At 48.2% G+C, this 16514-nt stretch overlaps 1 protein-coding gene across 4 annotated transcripts in view, besides 2 other annotated features; it reads left to right on the top strand.

The window, feature by feature from the left end:
• The window catches only part of MAP3K14 (mitogen-activated protein kinase kinase kinase 14), a 53902-nt gene continuing 38630 nt past the window's right edge, over nucleotides 1243-16514 (top strand). For 2 of the 4 annotated variants that reach the window (XM_011525441.3, XM_047436998.1), the window contains exons 1-2: nucleotides 1243-1303; nucleotides 5826-5978. The gene's annotated coding sequence lies outside the window, so the exon portion shown is untranslated. The remainder of the gene's footprint in view (nucleotides 1304-5825; nucleotides 5979-16514) is intronic. The other 2 variants (NM_003954.5, XM_047436997.1) reach the window with 1 other exon arrangement.
• Nucleotides 10412-10551: an enhancer, noted in NCBI's record as "active region_12298". NCBI's record gives its function as "activates an Ori minimal core promoter by ATAC-STARR-seq in GM12878 lymphoblastoid cells {active_cell/tissue: GM12878}" and the evidence as "EXISTENCE:reporter gene assay evidence [ECO:0000049][PMID:35858748]".
• Nucleotides 15285-15334: an enhancer, noted in NCBI's record as "active region_12297". NCBI's record gives its function as "activates an Ori minimal core promoter by ATAC-STARR-seq in GM12878 lymphoblastoid cells {active_cell/tissue: GM12878}" and the evidence as "EXISTENCE:reporter gene assay evidence [ECO:0000049][PMID:35858748]".

Here is a 16514-nt window from a genome sequence, read left to right as displayed (position 1 = left end):
CCTCACTCTGTTACCCAGGCTGGAGTGCAGTGGCACGATCATGGCTCACTGTAACCTCAGACTCTCAGCCTCCCCTCTAGCTGGGACTGCAAGTGCAAACTACCACGCCTGGCTATTCTTTTATTTTTTTGCAAGGACGAGGTCCTTGCTATATTGCCCAGGATGTTCTCCAACTCCTGGCCTCAAGCGATCCTCCTGCCTTTGCCTCCCAAAAGCGCTGGGATTACAGGAGTGAGCCACCGTGCCTGGCCTGGAATTTATTACAAATAAAATACAAGCTCAGTGTGGAAACACTAGATAATACAGAGGGGCAAAAGTTAGAAAAAGTTTCTATACCTTCCCTACTCCCCACCCCCGACCCCCATTCAGAAAGAAGCACTGTTGACACTTCAATGCATATTCTGAACTCCAGGTCCTTTCTTTGCATACATCAAGCTCTCATCCTCTTGCTGGCTCTGTGGTCTGCAAACCCAGAGAGCAGATGCTTTGCTCAGCGCTCGTACCACGCCACGCACCCACATGCTCTCTTTGTACCTGGGTTTCAACCCACAGGTCGGGCCCCTGTAAGCCCTTGGCTCCCCAAGCTTCTCGAGGGCAGGCACTGTAACCTTCTTTACTCATTCCAGGGATTCTACAGGACCAGGCACACGGTAAGAGCTCAATAAAAACGTCTCTACCCCCACCACCTCCCGCCTCAGCCGCCACCGCTTGGCAGCAGAGAGGAAGCGGAACGCGCGCGACCCACGAGGGAGAGCGCCTCGCTGTCTCCAAGGTAACCGAAGTCAGTGGCAGGGAGTGCCCACGCATGCGCACACTCGCCCTTCCTTCCCGTAACCTCGAGAACGCAGCTGGTAAGACTGCCAGAAGCCGAGGGCGCATGTGTGGTTCCACCAACACCCTAGTCGCCTCCGCCTTCTGTCAGTCCGCCCGCCCAGCGATCTCCCTTCTACAAACATCGTCCGGAAATAGTGCCCATTTCTGGAAACCAGGCCTCGTTAACCAATCGTTGCTAGGGAGCGGGAAGACGGGCTTGCCGGGACGACCGTCTCATTGGTTGGCGTAGGGGAGTGGGCGGGGCCACGGGTCGCGGTGCGGCCAAAGAAAGGAGGCGCGAAGCGAGGCAAAGTTACAGCCTCCGGGGGAGGCGTGGCCCCGGGGGCGGCCGAGAAGGCGAGGGGGCGGAGCCCGGGACCGGGGCGGGGCGACCACGGGCCGGGAGCTCAGCGGTCGGCGGCCGGCGGCGGGAGATCGCGGGCGAGCGGAGCGCAACACTCGCTTGGTTGGGGAGATCGGCGCTTGGCCGGTAGGTGACGGGGCGGGACCCTGGGGCCCGGTGCGAGGCGACCAGGGAGCGGCTGGGATGGATCGCCTCTCAGCCCCGGGCTGGGCTGCGGCCTGGCCCCTCGCCCCGGAGCAGTGGGGTCGGCGGCCAGGCCAGCGCAGTCCGACGTACCCCGTCCAACCCACTCGCAGCGGTCCGCGGGCGCGCCCTCGCACGCGCTGCCGGTGCCGCGCTCGCCCCGGGCCTCCAGGCCGCGCACTCCTGCTGGCCACACGCTGGCTCCGAGCGCGCGCAGGGGCCGCCTGCTTCCCCTTCACTAGTGCCCCGCGCCGCCGCCAGGCCCGCCCGCCTGCTCTGCGCCCCAGTGCCCCCAGGATGGAGCTCGCCTGCCGCGGGGCGGACGTGTCTCCTGCAGGAGTGCGCCCTGGCATCTGCCCTGGCGTGAAACCCTCCCGGCCTTTCATGGGAAGTTCTCAGGTCACACCTCAAGGCGGGGAGCAGGAGCTAAGCCTGTCCTCAGCATGCAGCGGGGCAGTGCTGGCCGCCCGCAGCATCCTCCCTCCGCCCTCGGACCCCAGTCCTCCTCTGTAATTCTTCTGGGCTCTCCAACTCGGGACTTTATCTGTCGGTTCAAATATAACATTCCCATCTTGGAAACCCATCGTGGCCCTGGCATCTTGCAGCCACTGGGCACCAGGCAGAGAGGGGCCACTTGTACGTACGTTTCCCACCTGCCCGGGAGCCTCCTTAGTGCTGGGTAGCTTCAGAAAAAGTGTTTCCTTCCTAGTCGAGGTTAAAAAGTTGCTCTCGGCCCTAAAGGGTGGACTGGAGGTATGAATGAGGGAGAGGATAAGTGGTGAAAAGGTACATACATCAGCAAAGTAAATGGTAAAACTACTTTTGATCGCTGGAGACAATGAACACCAATGACTTAATTAAGGACTTTAAAAGCACATGAAATTAAATGATTAGAGTGAGGTCATGATATAAAATAGGAGTCTGGAGTTTATTCCAAGAAAAATGTTGGAAACCCCTTGACTAGAAACATGGTCTTTCTGAAAGATTAGAAGGAGACAGTATCTTAACATTAGTGATGTGTTTTTTGCTTAGTGTCTTCATACCTGTGAGCTCCGTTTTCCTTCAGATGGCTGTGTGGTAAGACAGATTGTAGTGTCTTGTTTTATGGGCGAGGCACCTGAGGCAGGTGTGTATGAGGGAGTGGGGGTGGTATATATCTTGCCTGATGCCTCATAGCTGGGACTAAGGATGGGTCTTTCCCAGAATCCTAGATCAGGACCACATTATAGAACTGAGATGCAGAAAGGAGGGAGAAGTTTTTGGTGTGGTTTTTATGCTCTTAATGTGAGAGGACACTTAAAAAGTGCTTGCCTTACTTTGGTTGTGTTTGGATTTACTCTTGGTGTTTTTTAAGTGATATCAATCAGTTTCTTTGGAGCGATGCCAGACCTCTGAATTTTTCAGACACCTTTCGGACATCCTTATTTATTTTGAAGGGTGTGGAGAACTTCTCAGAAGATCTCAAAATAAAAGTAATCGTCTCTGACTCTAATTTTAGAGATAAGTACCCAGGTATGTGTACCAGCTCTTTGTGAAATCAGACAGCAAGACGCTGCCAAGCTTCAGGCCATCTTCTGAGTGTTTTCTGATTATAAGAAGCAGTTCTGAAGGGGGTTTTTTGTCATTGGTATTGTCTGTTAAGAGTTTGTGGGAGCGGCACCACAGAGACCCTGCCAAATCAGTCTCCCTCTATTAAACAAAAATGTCTGGTTGGGCTGTTTCGCCTCAACAGATGAAGGTTTGGTTCCTCATTTTGGTTCTCCTGTTGAACACTGACTCCTTTGTGATCTGCCTGGAATATGTGTATATCATTTACTGCTGAGAAGATGGCTTGCGCTGATTGGTTGTCCAGCCCTCGGCAACTGTTGTGATTTTTTTTTTTTTTTTGGTGATTGATAACAGTTCATCCCTGGCTAGGGTCTGGTGAGAGATCTGCGGAGATGTGAAAGAGATGAAAGCTTTATCCAGGGTTGTTTTCTTCGTTGTTGGCACCCTCTGAACAGTGTTGTATCACTTTGGCCTGTGAAGGCACTTTTAACTTCCTATTTTTTTTCCTGTCTCAATGGACAGCACATGGGCTTTCCTAACAAGCCTGCCTGCCTCGATGAAGAGCTGACAGATTCATATTGGTTGGTTTGACAGATGTTCTTTCTGGGGGGAAAGTTCAGAAATCTTAAAAGCAAAGTCAGTCCTAAGTAAAAAGTCTAAGTCAGCCCAATACGCATAAAGGCAGCGTACTTCTACTAATGGCTTCCATCATCTCAAGGTTGTTTTTTTTTTTTTCCTGGCAAAAGGTTAAAATGCAACTAAAATTCTGCTTTCGTGATTAATAAGTCACTACCACAGTTGTGTCTGATGCTTCCTGTTTGCCCCATTTTAGTATTTCAGTTAAACTGGAAACATCTGAGCATTATGGGCACTATTGATGGCACCAGTGTGAAATTGGTGGGCCGGGGACAATTCCATGTCAGTGGATTTAGGGAGCTCTAAGGATGTCAGCCCCTCTGGTCTCCACACACCAGGATTCCCTAGTAAGGGAACAGAATGGGGCTGAGCATCTGCAAGAGCTGGGTGGGCATTCAAAGTGATGCATGTGTGAAGGTTTTGCATTTACTCGGTGATGCTGGCTAAAATGCTGAAAGTAGTAGCCCAAAAAGGGAAGGCCAGACGTAGGGCAAATTGTAGGGGAGCATTTCTGTTGAGCTGAGCAGGACATTGAAGTATGAGATTTTTTTGTTCTGGGCTTATGACTGCCTGAATGACAATGCAGAAAAAGTCATTTTTCTTCAGTGGCCGGTGTGCTCTTTGTATTCTAGTTTAAAGGAGCCTCTTCCCTTCTTGCTTTTCTACATGTCTTAATCCCTCAGCTCCCTGATAGAAATCCCTTGAAATTATGTGGCATCAAGAATAATTTTATGGCCAGTCTTTGTATTTTCACACCATACTCATGTGAAGAAGGGCAGGGACAAAGATCAGAAAAGTGAAGCCTCATAAGGAGAAACAGACAGGATTGCTCAGAATCTAAACCCCCTTTTCTTGATATCTAGGTCACTGCTTTTTCTACTACCTTGCTCATGAAACGATAAGGATTTTCTTCCCCCAAACATGTCAATTTTGAACATAACGAAACCAGGGTAGCAGCTTTATTTATTTATTGTACCAATCAATTATTAATTGATATTGATTTTTAATTAATAAAAGGCCAAAAGATGAATAGCCTGCTGCCTGGACAGGTGTGCTTGTGCCCATTTTCCAGATGTAGAAACAAAGGCAGAGAGCCCGTGATTTGTCCAGAGCAACAGAACAAGTCCTTGGTGTCTCCGTGTCACATGTGGTGGCTGAGGCTGTCAGGTCAGAGAGACCTGGGTCAGGTCGAGGTCTGCCACGGCCTGCCTGTGTGCCCGCAAGCAAATCACTTCACTTCTCTAATCATCAGGTGCCTCATCTGTGAATGGGATCAGAAATACTTCATGGGGCTGTTTTGAGTAGAAAATGAGAGGAGATATGTAAAGTGCTGAGCCCAGTGCCCAGCACAGAACATAGAGGCTGTAACTGTTGTTGTTGTTGTTGTTGTTCTTGTTGGTGGTGTTTGGTGGTGGTAGTAATAGTAGTAGTAGTAGTAGTAGTAATAGTAGCAGTAGTAGTTGCCAATTACTGCATTGTGACTAAACCTGTTTTCTGTAAGATGATGTCAAGAAGGGTCAGACTGCCTGACAGGCCAGAGTCATTTTCTCAGTAGGACCTTTAGGGGGACAGTCCTTCAGTCTAAAAGCTTCAGCTCTCGGGTTCTCCCTGTCTTACACTATATACTGCCCTCACCATACTCCAAATGAGGCTACAAAGGTCCAGGCTCTGCCCAGTTGACAATCCTAACTCTGAGCTGGAGACACAGCTAGGCCTGTCTAGGGGCTTCCTGTGTCCCACACGTGATCAAGTAGGTTCCTGCATTAATCCTGGAGGTGAGGAAAGGGAAAATACTGTATGGCATGTAGATCAGCAAGGACTTGTTCTTTGGGGGAACAGGAGGGAACATTTGGTTCTGTGGGATGAGGTTCCCACTACCACATGGCATCCCCAGCTCACCACCCTTTCCCCCTCGTAAAGATGTCTTTGTCAGCTTCTCTCTGAGACTCTGTCTGGGGGCCCACGATCTGCAGTCAAGGACTTGCAGATTCCCCTTTAAATCTCACAAGAAGCCTGGAATGGTGACGTGTGTTTCTTTAGTCCCAGCTACTTGAGAGGCTGAGGCGGGAGGATCACTTGAGCCCAGGAGGTCAAGTAGCTATGGGCAACATAGCGAGACCCCATCTCTTGAAAGAAAAACGTTTGTTTTAATCTCACAAGGGAAAAAAAAAGTTTCATGTTATATTTTAAAGTCTTTTTTCACCTTAATACAAAACAAAAATATAGGCTCTCACCAGGCTACTGTTCCCTTTAAATAACATTTTGTTTTCTCTTGGGGAAGCTGACTTGATGGCCGAAGAGTCATTTCTAAAGTGAAGCTAGTTTTTAGAAAAAATAGATCACCGGATGTCAAGCCTCATGTGGAGCTCGGTTCAGATGAAAATGAAACCAGCAGGCCTGGCGTGGCAGCTCTGCACTTGACTTCAGGCTGGAGGTGAGAGGCAGAGTGTGCCTGGACCTTGCTCCATAACTGGTTGGCCCCACAGAGTGCATTTGATAGGTGCCTTAGTCATTTTCCAAGCAGCTTTGCTTAGGTGAGCAGAGCACTTTCTCTGGAAGGTGAGTCACCCATGCAGGGGTGTAGGTGACAGGCGATTTATTCCCCAGCACAGTTGCAGAGAAAGTCCTGAGCAGACCTTCGTGAGGAGCCCTCTGCCACAAATCAGCCTCATCCCAGCCCCAGGGCTATGGAGGCAGGGGGCAGGAGGTAAACAGGAGGCTTCTGGGGCCAGTGGGCTGACAGCGGAGGGGGGATCGTGGACGGGGCACAGAGCCCAGATCAGCAGTGTCACTGACTCCTAAGTCCAGCCACCCTGAGGGTGGAAAATGGCCTGCTTCCAGTGACAGTCAGCAAAGAAGCAGGAGGGGAGCTTTGGCCCTGGGGAGCTGGGAAATCCCTTGGCAGAGAGCAGAGAGACAAGCCCTATTTTGGTGTGAAAAACCTTTTAGGAACGCTTTTCCACCTGCCTCCTTTTCAGCCACCTGAGTTGGAGTCTCTGCAGAGCTCCAGCGATTGTAAAGGCTAGATTAAACCCTGGATTTCAGAAAGCTTTAGGAATCCCAAGCCTGCCACCATCTCAGTTGTCTACACTTCTAGGACCAGGATTTGTACCAAGAAAGAAGCAGCAGGGGGTACTCCTGAGCCATCCCTCCCTCCCAGGTTCTGGTTACTACAGCTTCTCCTGACGCTCTTTCTGCTAAAGCCACTATCAGGTGTCCATTAACGCAGAGATTTTCTTCAGACACTGTTCTGGACTAGTGCAGTTGGTGTTGAACTTGACCGATTATGGTCAGGGACATCTATAAGCAATGTCCAGGACCAACTACAAGGAGGGCTTGACTTTAATGAAGCTGCAGCTCTTGCAAATAATCTCGTTCCCTGTCTCTGGCAGACTACCAACCCAGCCCCTGTACCCATACCCCATCAGTCTGGACCAACCAGTAGTCACCTCCTGCTGGCATGGCTAAATAACCTTAACCTCACTGTCCAGAAAGAGCTGTTAGGATTATAGCCTGGACATGATCATTCACATTTTTTGCAGTGAGAAAATGCAGAAGAGAAAATGGTGGCCCAAGAAAGCCAAGTGGGTTGCCCAAGGCCACACAGCTAGTTAATGGCAGAGCCTGAACTATAAAACCCAGACTCTTCACTGTACTCTGCTGCCAGGGAACGAAGGAACTAATCCTGAAGCAGGATTTTTTTTTTTAAACTAGCTTCTCCTTTTATTCCCCTACCACAACCCTATCACTCTCAGCCTTTCTGCAAGCTCTGCCAGGCCTGGGAAGGGTGGAGCCACAGCAGCTGCTGCCCTGGGTCTAAGAAAAAGTAAACAGAAAGCTATTTGTTGGACGCTGTCTTATACCATGAGGTTCATGTAATCAAAAGGAGGTCAAGGTTGATAAGAAAATACAATTACCAGGAAGTCTCAAAGGTTGCCCACACCTTTAGGGCACTTTCCTACCTAGCCAAGCAGTATCTCACCTAGAGTGGGTATTTAGTAACTTTCAATGATTGATTACAGGGGTCCAAACCCACAGTGCACGAAGCTCTTCTGCATCTTTCTTCTGTGCAGGAGGTGCATGCATACTCTGGGTGTTATCCTAGCTGATCTGCCTGGCTCCTCTCAGTGAGAGGCTCTTCCTTGTGGGTGAAGCATGATGTCATGATGTCATATCTGGATGGTGGCCCCTGTAAGTGCAAAGAATTATTGTAGCCAAAATCTACCACCCACCTTCTACTGACATTAAAGTTTCCTTTTACTGGGCCAGAATTAAAAGGTAGGTGTTTCTGGTCCATACTAGGGATAGCCAGGAGGGTTGGGAGGAAAAGGAGGCTTAGCCAGCCTCCAATGAGGATGTGGTTGCCAGTTAAGATTATAAATGGAGGCTGGGCACGGTGGCTCGTGCCTGTAATCCCAGTGCTTTGGGAGGCTGAGGCGGGCGGATCACAAGGTCAAGAGATTGAGACCATCCTGGCCAACATGGTGAAACCCCATCTCTACTAAAAATACAAAAAAGTTAGCTGGGCATGGTGGCACATGCCTGTAATCCCAGCTACTCGGGAGGCTGGGGTAGGAGAATCACTTGAACCTGGGAGGTGGAGGTTGCAGTGAGCCAAGATCCACCATTGCACTCCAGCCTGGGCGACAAGAGCGAAACTCCGTCTCAAAAAAAAAAAAAAAAAAAAAAAAGATGGACTCCTTTGGCCAAGGGAGTTGATTGGACCCACCAGACTCCTTGAGTCCTGCCCAACAGTCTCCACTGGCAGATGCTGTGCCTGGAGAGGCAGGAATAGCTTTGTATAGATCAATGTGAAGGACAGAGTCCTGCACCACCTCCCTCTAGCATGTATTAGATACTTGCAAATATATGCAAATCCGAGCCCAGATGGGTGTTGTCCAGTTCAGAAGGGTTATCTTCTCAAGCAATTAGAAGTAATTGGGTCTCTAGGTCAGCATTTAGGAAAGGGGATGGCAGGAGAGGCTCCACAGCCATCTTTCAGGACACCTGCTTGCTGGGGTGCAGTTAGAATACAGCCACCAAGTTGTGACTCCCTCCCTTCCAGCCTGCCAGGTGATTGGACAGTGTGGACACGTGTCCCTGTCCAGCCAGGCTCTCAGAGCCTGTGGCACTCATTTATTCCTCAGAAGTGTGTCTGTCCTTTCACTCAGGAACATTTGCCAAGTGTGTCAAATGGGCCATGTCTGCTAGGTGCTAGAAAACCAAACACAATTGAGGCACCGCCCTGGAGGACCTCACCAAGACAGGGGTAAGCTGGGCACGAAGGCAGACATCTCACAGGTCAACCCCGGTGCTGGTCAGGAGCCATGACTATAGGAGCTGGAGGGAGCGAGGAGGCCACCATGCGCAGCCCAGTGGCCCTCCTTTTCCAGCCTGAGCCAGCACTGTCAGGCGTAGAGCGTCTCGGATTCTGCAGGTGCCTGGGTGGGAACACCTTGGTATTTCTCTCACCCTGGGGTCTTGTACCACTTGTCAGCTTGGAGCGGGAGCTTGGTAACAGTTGGGCAACTTCAGCACTCTGGGGGAAAGAAGTGCATTTTCAGAAGCGTAGGGACAGTCAGGAGAAATTTGCTCAAATGTTGCTTGGGCACAGTGGCTCATGCCTGTAATCCCAATGACTTGGGAGGCTAAGGCAGGAGGATTGCCTTTTAGGCCAAGAACTGGAGACCAGCCTGGACAACATAGTGAGATCCACCTCCAAAAAAAAAATTTTTTTAAACTAGCTGGACATTGCCAGGCGCAGTGGCTCACACCTGTAATCCCAGCACTTCGGGAGGCCAAGACAGGCAGACCACTTGAGGCCAGGAGGTCAAGACCAGCCTGGCCAACATGGTGAGACCCGTCTCTACTAAAAATACAAAAATTAGCCAGGTGTGTTGGTGGGCACTTGTAATCCCAGCTACTCGGGAGGCTGAGGCACAAGAATCACTTGAACCTGGGAGGCAGAGGTTGCAATGAGCCATGATCGCACCACTGCACCCCAGCCTGGGCGACAGAGCAAGACTCTGTCAAAAAAAAAAAAAAAAGATTAGCTGGGCATGGTGGTGCTTACCTGTAGTCCAGCTACTTCAGAGGCTGAGGTGGGATGATCACTTGAGCTCAGGAGTTCGAGGCTGTAGTAAGCTATGGTTGTACCACTGCATTCCAGCCTGGGTGACAGAACAAGTCCTCTTCTCAAAAAAGAAAATATAGTTCAAAGTAGAATCAGACAGTGAGTAGCCAGCTAATAAACACATAACTGACCACCTCCCACCCCTCCAAGTGAGAATTGGGAGGGCAGTGACCACACTGGCACATCCCATAGGCTTGGTGCCACTAGAGAGTTGTAGGCAGGTAGATCAAGGCAGTGCTTCTAGGTAACTGGGTTCAGCATTCCAAGAAGGCCTTTCAAGGGTTTCAACAGAGAAGGCTCTTGGTCATCCTCATATTCCTGCTGGCCAGCACGGTGCCTGAAACATGGTAGCCACTGATTAAATATTTGCTGTTGAGTGAAAGTACAAGACTTGAATCCAAACTCCTCCCGCTAAGCCCTGCTGGCCTCGGGGAGGACGAGAGAGCCGTGGGCTGTTTCATGATTTACCCTCTTTTACCAAAGAATCGTGTGAGATCCTCTGAGAATATTCCTCATCATGCCCCATGTCCCAAGCCCTTTTTTACCTTCCCAAGGGAGGACAAGAATATGACCCCTCATTATAAAGGGACCCCTCTGCCACTCATGTCCTCAAGCTGGTTACTTGGTCCAGCTTGTCAAAGAGCATGTGGGGCAGCATCTGAAATGAGGCCAGGGTCAAGGTTGCCCCGCCACAGGGCGGAGCTGGACCTGTGCCTCCTTCCATGCATTGGAAGCCTTCTGTGGAAGCTGAGTTCTTTGGGTTTCTTGTTTATTCTGAAGTTCCTCAAACTAGTTCCTCAATTTCAGAACCAGTCACCAGTGACTACAATGAACTTGAATTCTCCTATACAGGGAGCCTGAGCCTGTCTTTCTTCATCTTTTCTGAACACAGGTAGACGCTGCTTGAAGCCACTCCCACCTCTGAAAACCAGATTTCTAAACCCAGAAAGGAGCGGTGGGTGGTTGTATTTCAGCGAGATTGACCGTAGCCTAGGGAACTTCTTGCTCAGAATCCACCCCAAAAGGTTAAATAAGGAGAGTTGTTTTTCACAACCAAAATGCTGCTTGTAACGATGATCTCAAAGCTTGGCAAGATCACAAAGTACGTTTTGAGTCATCAAAGAAACTGGCTGTGTTTCACATGATTTTAGTGTCAAGGGCAATTATGGCCATCTAATCTTTGGAAATTGGTCATGTTAAGTGGCATACAGGGCAGCCCCCACTTAATCAGAATATTCAGTTACACAAAATACCCTAAGTTGCTGATTTCGATGACACTTGAAATTTTTTTAATTAATTAATTAATTAATTTTTTTTTTTAATTTTTTGAGACAGAGTCTCACTCTGTTGCCTAGGTTGGAGTGCAGTGGCACAATCTCGGCTCACTGCAACCTCCACCTCCCGGGTTCAAGCGATTCTTGTGCCTCAGCCTCCCGAGTAGCTGGGATTACAGGCACCCACCACCACACCCAGCTAATTTTTGTATTTCTAGTGGAGGCAGCGTTTTGCCATGTTGGCCAGGCTGGTCTCGATCTCACAACCTCAGGCAGTCCGCCCGCCTGGGCCTCCCAATGTGCTAGGATTACAGGTGTGAGCCACCACTCCCGGCCTGAAAAATTTTTTATACAATATACATTAAACATTCCTTGTTGCTTATTGTATAAAATTAAGTACACGTGTGACAGGTTTTTATCTCAATACTACCTTGCCCGACATGTTCTCCTGCATATTGGGTCTTTGTGGATCCATGATGCCCCCTGTGGCGTCTTTTCTATTTGCTGTTGGCTCTCCTTGTGCAAAGGATTTGAAGGTTGAATTGAAAATACCATTGTAATACTTCTCTTTTAAAGCTTATAAAATGCCCTGTATCAGGGCCTGGGGGCAAAAGTACTGATGAAATTTATGAAGATAGCAAATGATGCTCGAGTCTTTGTTATAAAAAGAATGGTAAATAGGTTCAAGAAGCCTGCAGCCAGGCTTTGTAAAGTGAATGGCAAATTTGCATTTGTCATAGAATTTCTCCTTGGAATGGGCCTGGCTATGTCAGGCCTGGGTGGGCTGAGGAACACAGGCCCACCACAAGTCCAGCTTGGAGTCTTTCTTCCCTGTTGTCATTTTAAAGTTGCTTTTTCCAGAACATAGGCTGGCTGTAGTTCATGCTTCCTAATTAAGGTGCTTCCTCCCAGGCCAGTCCCTGAATTTCTCACTAACCTTTGACTTGTGACAGCTTCTGCATCTCGGTCCCAATTTTTAAAGCTTAGATCATTTGGGAGTAGGAAGAGTGTCATGGTTAAGAGTATGGGCTTTGACATAAAAGTCTCTTGTGCAAATCCTGCCGCTGCCACTTCACTGCTGTGTGGCCTTGGGCAAATTACTTGGCCTACTGAGGCCCAGTTTCTTCCTCCTTGTAAACGGATAACATTAGTGCCTTGCTCACAGAGTTGTGAGGATTCAAGAAAAAAATGCACGCATTACCTAATACATGGCAGATAATAATAGCTGTCATTATTATTCATTTGTATGATTACCAACAACCAGCATGTAGTTATGTGTATACAAATAGCAGATTGTTGTAACACTCAAAGATGACCACAGGACAACTAATTTCAGCTTTAGCTGCCAAGGAATTGTGGGTCCCAGTTCATCACGCAGAGCTGAGGCACTGCCAGTGGACACAGAAGCCAGATGGGGTGTGCAGAATGCTCTTCAAAGAACATCTTCATGGGTTCTTGCCGACCACTCTGTCCCTCTGCTTTCAGGATTGTCCTCCTCCTGCTTTGACCACATCTGTTCCAGACTTTCTGTCTGATGCTAGGGCTGCTGGCTAGAAGCTGTGGGAGGTAGGCTTCAGTGCCTTATAGCAGCAACTTTGAAGCAACTTAACACTTATAGACCATGACTCACATCTGTAATCCTAGCACTTTGGGAGGCTGAGGTGGGCAGATCACTTGAGGCCAGGAGTTTGAGATCAGCCTGGCCAAGATGGCACAATCCCATTTCTACAAAAAAATAAATAAATGAAATTAGCCATGCGTGGTGGTACATGCCTGTAATCCCAGCCACTTGGGTGGCTGAGGCATAAGAATCGCTTGAATTCGGGAGGTGGAGGTTGCAGTGAGCCAAGATCACACCACTGCACTCCAGCCTGGGTGACAGCAAGACTCTGTCTCACAAAAAAAAAAAAAAAAACGGCCGGGCGCTGTGGCTCACGCCTGTAATCCCAGCACTTTGGGAGGCCGAGGCAGGTGGATCACGAGGTCAGGAGATCGAGACCATCCTGGCTAACATGGTGAAATCCTGTCTCTACTAAAAATACAAAAAATTAGCTGAGCGTGGTGGCGGGTGCCTGTAGTCCCGCTACTCAGGAGGCTGAGGCTGGAGAATGGTGTAAACCCGGCAGGCAGAGCTTGCAGTGAGCCGAGATTGCGTCACTGCACTCCAGCCTGGGCGACAGAGCAAGACTCCGTCTCAAAAAATAAAAAAAATAAAAAAACATAAAACCAAAAAAAATCTTACACTTCCAGTCATACAAAGGTCTGACTGCTCATCTTGTAGCGGCTTCCATCTCACTGGAGGTTCCACTGATGTTTCCAGAGTGCCCACTGCATGCCAGGCACTGTGCTATGTAATTTAAACTTTGTTCCTTGCATTGAGTCACCGTGTAAAATTCTATCATGTAGGTTTGAGGATCCCTATATTACAGATAAGACTCCTGAGTCTCAGATTATGTGACCTGCCCATGGTCACACACCAGAGTATTGAGAAACTAAGATTCAAACTCAGATCTTCTGACTCCAAGGCCATCCTGTCATGTAGCTGAATGGCCATTCCTCAGGATTAGTAAGTAATATGTTGGAAGAAATTACCTCTGAGGGTCTTTCTGATCCTAAGAGCACTTTGATTATTCCTTTATGATTTATTTATCCATCTACCCATTTTTTCCCCATCTAGACTATAGGCATGTTGAAAGCAAGGATAGCATCTTCACAGCAAATAAATAATACAATGTTTGGAAACCACCTATCTGATGCTATCTACTTCTCTGACACATAGAAACAGGAGAAAAGATATAACCCATTAACAAAAGAGTCACCCAGAAATTCCAATCCCAAGAGCTTACCACCTAGAATTCCTTCTACATGTACACATAAATGTGAATAAGGGTAGAGTTTTTTCCATTATTACGTATAAGTGAAAAATTGGAAACAAAGTTTCCAGGTGGGAAAATGATGATACATCTGTACCTTCCAATCTTATGAAGCCTTAAAAAGAATGAATTAGAGGTCAACCATGGTGGCTCACACCTGTAATCCCAGTACTTTGGGAGGCCAAGGCGGGTGGATTGTTTGAGGTCAGGAGTTCAAGACCAGCCTGACCAACATGGTGAAACCCCGTCTCTACTAAAAATACAAAAATTAGCCGGATGTGGTGGCTGACGCCTGTAACTCGGAAGGTTGAGGCAGGAGGATCACTTGAACTCGGGAGACGGAGGTTGCAGTGAGCCAAGAATGGGCTGCTGCGCTCCAGCCTGGGCGACAGAGCGAGACTCCGTCTCAAAAAAAAAAAAAAAAAAAAGAAAAGAAAAGAAATAAATCTAAATGTGCTGAGATGGAATAGTATTCATAGTATCTTAAGTGAAAGATACAATTTGTATGACATTACATGTGTATAATCCATGTTTCTTTTAAAAATAGTCCCAAACTAGGCCAGGCACGGTGGCTCACGCCTGTAATCCCAGCACTTTGGGAGGCCGAGGCGGCTGGATCACGAGGTCAGGAGATCAAGACCATCCTAGCTAACACGGTGAAACCCCGTCTCTACTAAAAATACAAAAAAAAAAAAAAGTCCCAAACTATATGTTTATATATGTATAGTAATTGGAACTAGAAGGATTTACATGAAACTTAAGTGTTTTTTATGTTGCAGAGAGGACGGGACGGTGCCGGGATTTTTTTTCTATATACAATTTTGTTTTGTTTACATTTTTACAATGAACAATTATTTTGGTATTGGAAAAAAATTTTTGAGATGGAGTCTCACTCTGTTGCCCAAGCTGGGGTGCAGTGGTGCAATCTCGGCTCATTACAACCTCTACCTCCTGGGCTCAAGTGATTCTCCTGCGTTAGCCTCCAAAGTAGCTGGGATTACAGGTGCCCACCACCACACCCAGCTAATTTTTGTATTTTTAGTAGAGACGAGATTTCCCCATGTTGGCCAGGCTGGTCTTGAACTCCTGACCTCAAGTGATCCACCCACCTCGGCCTCCCAAGGTGATGGGATTACAGTCATGAGCCACTGCACCTGGCCTGAAAAAAAATTTTTAAGCAAGGTTAAAGATCACATATAAGAAAGGCAGGAGAGGCTAGCTAGGAAAACTGTCCTCCCTTGGGTTTCCCAGACTAGGACTAACCCTGCGATTCCCACCCCTTTGCGCAAGCAGTGGAGGAAGGGCTGGTTTTTTTCTCCCTGGTCCACTTCTGCTGTTTTTCACTCTGGGGGGCCACTCTTGCCCAGGGGCATGTGGTCCATCCAGCACTAGCACGGGCCTGTAACCACGCATGCATTTGCCATTCGATAAATCAAAGCAGGAAACAGTCCGCATCTTCTGAGCACCTTCCTATTTCTTGAGTCACAACTGATAAAACTCTCAGTCCTCAGCAGAGAACAAGGGAGGGAATGAAATGAAAACCAAAACCAGGAAGGACAAGCTTGCCCATCTCCAGCCTTCTGTTTTGCGGCCCAGCTGCCAGAACTCAGTGAGCAGAACAGAAGAGCCACAGACTTTCTGGTGAAGTTTCCTGCCCACACATGGGTTTGTGCTTGCATGTGTGTGCATGTGCGCGCACACGGTTGGAGAAACCAGCTCATCACATATTTATAAAGCCCCAATCTCAAGTGTGGACCTAATGCTTCCTAAATTCTCATCCCATGCCAAGAGATTCTTTTTTAGTTGTTTTCATGATTAAAAAGTAATACTTGGCCGGGCACAGTGGCTCATGCCTGTAATCGCAGCACTTTGGGAGGCCAAGGCAGGCAGATCACTTGAGGTCAGGAGTTTGAGACCAGCCTGGCCAACATGGTGAAACCCGGTCTCTACTAAAAATAGAAAAATTAGCCGGGTGTGGTGGCAGGCGCCTGTAATCCCAGCTGCTCAGGAGGCTGAGGCAGGAGAATTTCTTGAACCCAAGAGGCGGAAGTTGCAGTAAGCCAAGATCGCACCGTTGCACTCCAGCCTGGGCAATAGAGTGAGACTCCATCTCATAAAAATAATAACAATAATAAAAATGAATAAAAGTAATACCTACAGAGAAAATCAGTAGAGGGAGATACAAGAAACTGTTAACGGGGATCCCCTTATAGGAATGGAGGGAAGGACTCATGCTTTTCAATGGCACCCCTTCTGTATTTTTTTTTTTAACCACTTAGAAACATTATCTGTTAAAAATGAGAACCAAGGTCGGGCGCAGTGGCTCATGCCTGTAATGCCAGCACTCTGGGAGGCTGAAGCAGGTGAATCTCATGAGCTCAAGAGTTCAAGACCAGCCTGGGCACCATGGCAAAACCCTGTCTCTACCAAAAATACAAAAAATTAGCCAAGCGTGGTGGCACGCACCTGTCCCAGCTACTTGGGAGACTGAAATGGGAGGATCACTTAAGCCTGGGAGGCAGAGGTTACAGTGAGCTGAGATCGTGTCACTGCAGTCCAGCCAAGGTGACAGAGTGAGACTGCATCTCAAAAAAAAAAAAAAAAAGAGAACTGAGAAAACTAATATGTGCTCACTGAAAAAGTGGAAAAATTAGAAAGGTATAAAAAGAAATATTAAATCATCCATAAGC

Source organism: Homo sapiens, chromosome 17, assembly GCF_000001405.40.
Source record: "Homo sapiens chromosome 17, GRCh38.p14 Primary Assembly".
Classification (NCBI taxonomy): domain Eukaryota; kingdom Metazoa; phylum Chordata; class Mammalia; order Primates; family Hominidae; genus Homo; species Homo sapiens.
Note: the sequence above shows the minus strand (reverse complement) of the source record. Positions and strands in the feature narration are given on the sequence as shown.